The 3721-nt window shown below is 44.8% G+C and overlaps 1 pseudogene; it reads left to right on the top strand.

Annotated features, from left to right (window-relative positions):
- The first annotated feature begins 1001 nt into the window (after positions 1 to 1001).
- LOC101927984 (uncharacterized) lies at positions 1002 to 1706 on the top strand (annotated as a pseudogene).
- Positions 1707 to 3721: the final 2015 nt, after the last annotated feature.

The following is a 3721-nucleotide window of genomic DNA, read 5'->3' as shown; positions in this document are numbered from 1 at the left end:
ACTTCTTATTAATTTTCGTGCTCCAAGAGGTCAAAAAAATGTTTTTGCTTCTCCTTTACATACAAAAACATTATTCGTAGAAGAGCTGTGGGCAGGCAACTCTCATTAACATAAGTTCTGAGATTTGCAGGTGAGCTGGCTGGTTGGAGAAACGACACACACCTGTTTCAGCCAAGCCCCTGGTGGAGTTTGGAGTTTCCAAAATGTTGACTTTTCCTCTTTCTGGTCAAAATAGAAATTATATGGATATTAAGGAGCCCCAAGTGTCTTCAGGGATGTTGAGGAACCCTGGACATACAAATACACACACACACACACACACACACACACACACACACACACGTACACACACTCACCACCCCATGCCAAGAAGATACACAAAAAACTCACTCACCTTTCACTTGAGTTTGCAAATTTGGAGCTGACTTAATGAAGGAAAGAAAAATTGCAGCTACAAAGTAACACAGAGCCAATGAAAAGACAAAAACCACCACTAGATTTTCTTCTTTTCTAAAGTTTTATTTTATTTTTAAGAGTCAACGTTCGGATCAGGCGCAGTGGCTCACGCTTGTAATCCCAGCGCTTTGGGAGGCTGAGGTGGGAGAATCACAAGGCCAGAAGTTCAAGACCAGTCTGGGCAACATAGCAAGATCCCATCTCTTAAAAAAAAAGTACAAAAGTTAGCTGGACCTACTGGTGCAGACCTGTATTTCCAGCTACTGGGGAGGCTGAGGTGGAAGGATGGTTTGAGTCCAGGAGGTTAAGGCTGCACTGAGCCATGATTGCATCACTGCACACTCCAGCTTAGGCAACAGAGCAAGACCTTGTCTCAAGAAAAAAACTCCATAATGATTGTACACATTTATGACATATAATATACTGTTTCCAAGCACGTGTATATCATGTAATGACACCTCATGGTAATTATCAGATCCAGCTGCTCAGAAATCTCATTTTCCGGTGGCTGGGGAATACGCATTTTTTTTTTTTTTTGAGACAGAGTTTCGCTCTTGTCACCCAGGCTGGAGTGCAATGGAATGATCTTGGCTCACTGCAAACTCCGCCTCCCGGGTTCAAGCGATTCTCCTGCCTCAGCCTCCCCAGTAGCTGGGATTACAGGCATGTGCCACCACACCTGGTTCATTTTGTATTTTCAGTAGAGACTGGGTTTCATCGTGCTGGCCAGGCTGGTCTCGAACTCCTGACCTCAAGTGATCCACCCACCTCAGCCTCCCAAAGTGCTGGGATTACAGGCGTGAGCCACCGAGCCTGGCCAACCCTCTCCTCTTTCAGGGGCTTAAATAAAATTTGCTTTTCTCCCCAAAGGCGGGTCCCCACCCCATTCAGCCCAGTTTCAAAGGGTGGAGTGTAAACGGTGGGTTGCCCAATTCCTGCTGCCGTGAAGTACTTCAGCTTACAGCGGAAAGCCGGGCGCAGACACCATGCTTTATTTCTATTTCCACGAACAAGAAGCGTCTCTTGCAGTCTGCAATATTTGTCGTCAAAAATTTCACTGGCTGTTGTATCAAATCAGCCACCTCTATAGGGTGTGATCATTGACAATTTTTTGTTACATCCCGATGGCCGTTTTACCTGGACCGTTTTCTTCCTTTCATGGGTGAAGCAAAACTCCTTGGTAGACTTTTTTTTTTTTTTTTGAGACAGAGTCTCGCTCTGTCGCTCTGTTGCCCAGGCTGGAGTGCAGTGGTGCGATCTCGACTCACTGCAACCTCCACCTCCCGGGTTCACACCATTCTCCTGCCTCAGCCTCCCCAGTAGCTCGGACTACAGGCACCCACCACCATGTCCACCTAATTTTTTGTATTTTTAGTAGAGACAGGATTTCACCGTTTTAGCCAGGATGGTCTCGTATCCTGACCTCGTGATCCGCCCGCCTCGGCCTCCCAAAGTTCTGGGATTACACGTGTGAGCCACCGCACCAGGCCAATGTGATGATTATCTATGGATATACCCTGATCATCAGCAGGAGGAAATGAAGAGGTATTGGTTAAAAATACAAAGTTGCAGTTACGCAGGATGAATAAGTACTAATTTGTAACAATTCAGTATGAAACAGTGTGACCGTGGTTAACAAGGCTCTGCTCTATGCCTGACATCTGAGAACAGAGGAATTGAAGTCTGAACTTTGTCCAGAAGAGGATGGCTTTGCAGGCTTTGCTGAGCATGCTGAATTCACGGTTTCCGGGTCAGCCCCTGGGCTGCCCAGGGACAGGGTGGAAACCCTGCCCCAGAAAGTCCAGGAGCCAGGAACCTGCTTAGAGACACATTTCAACAAGGAAAACCACACTCAGGCCGGCCTCCTTAAAAACACATAGGCCCGGCGTGGTGGCTCAAGCCTGTAATTCCAGCACTTTGGGAGGCTGAGGCAGGTGGATTGCCTGAGTTCAGGAGTTCGAGGCTGCGGTGAGCTATGATTGCACTCCAGCCTCGGCAACAGAGTGAGACCCTGTCTCAAAGAAATAAACAAATAAATGAATAAGCAAGCAAGCAATTTTTAAGTTGAACATCAGTTCTCTACTTGACTCTAGAGTTAAATAGGCATCCAGTTGCTTTTTGTGTTTATTTTTATATTCACTGCTTTTGCCTGCAACTGTGTTTCTGGTTCTAAGTAAATATAACGTATGCTACTGGTACACATACGTCTTAGGCAACATATGTTTCATTCACTGGATTGTTAGCTCTGTTTTGTTTTGTCACTACTTTAGTCCCAGTACCAATAACTGTGCCAGGCACAAAGTAGGTGTTTAGCTAATATTGTTAAATGAAGAAATACAAATATTTGATTTTATCACTTGAATCCTCATTTATTAGTACTGCACTATCTTTTCTTAGCTGTTTTTGTGAACATATGTGTGCTGCTTTTTTACCCTAACTAGATTGGAAGTACATTGTGGGTAGAAACTTGGTTTTATTTGTTTTTCCTATATTCTCCTTTACAGCAGTTTAGACCTGATGGGAAGTAGGTATTTCCCAAACACGTGATTGAACTGAAATACATTGGTAGATTTCATTTTATCAGGAGACTGCCAAAAGTATAGTCATAAATAAGGAATTTGGAAGAGAATCAAAAAGCTAGTATGTACTCATCTGTCAGCTTGAAGGCCTGTATAAGACTCCATACTTCTGTGGAGTAAAAAGGGTAGGGTTCTGGGGCTGGACACGGTAGCTCACACCTGTAATCCCAACACTTTGGGGAAAAAAAGAGGGTTCTGGGACTATTCTTTGCTTCTTCTTCTTTTTTTTTTTTTTTGAGACAGTTTTGCTCTGTCATTCAGGCTGGAGTGCAGTGGCATGATTTCGACTCACCACAACCTCTACCTCAGGTTCAAGCAGTTCTCCTGCCTGAGCCTCCTGAGTAGCTGGGATTACAGGTGCTTGCGACCACACCTGGCTAATTTTTTTATATTTTTAGTAGAGATGGGGGTTTTACCATATTGGCCAGGCTGGTTAAGAACTCCTGACCTCAAGTGATGCGCCCATCTCGGCCTCCCAAAGTGCTAGGATTACAGGCGTGAGCCACTGCGCCCGGCCTCTGGGACTGTTCTTTTCCTTGCTCCTTAACAGACTATTTCCTGCTTTTTGTTTTGTTTTGTTTTGCTTTGCTTTGTTTTTTGTTTTTGGCCTTCTAACTGTGTTACAAATGGTTTAAGTCAGTGGTTCTCCAAGGGTGGTCCCAGATCAGCAGCATTATCACCTGGGT

Source organism: Homo sapiens, chromosome 2 (genome assembly GCF_000001405.40).
Source record: "Homo sapiens chromosome 2, GRCh38.p14 Primary Assembly".
Taxonomy (NCBI): Eukaryota; Metazoa; Chordata; class Mammalia; order Primates; family Hominidae; genus Homo; species Homo sapiens.
This window is presented reverse-complemented; position numbering and strand designations above follow the sequence as displayed.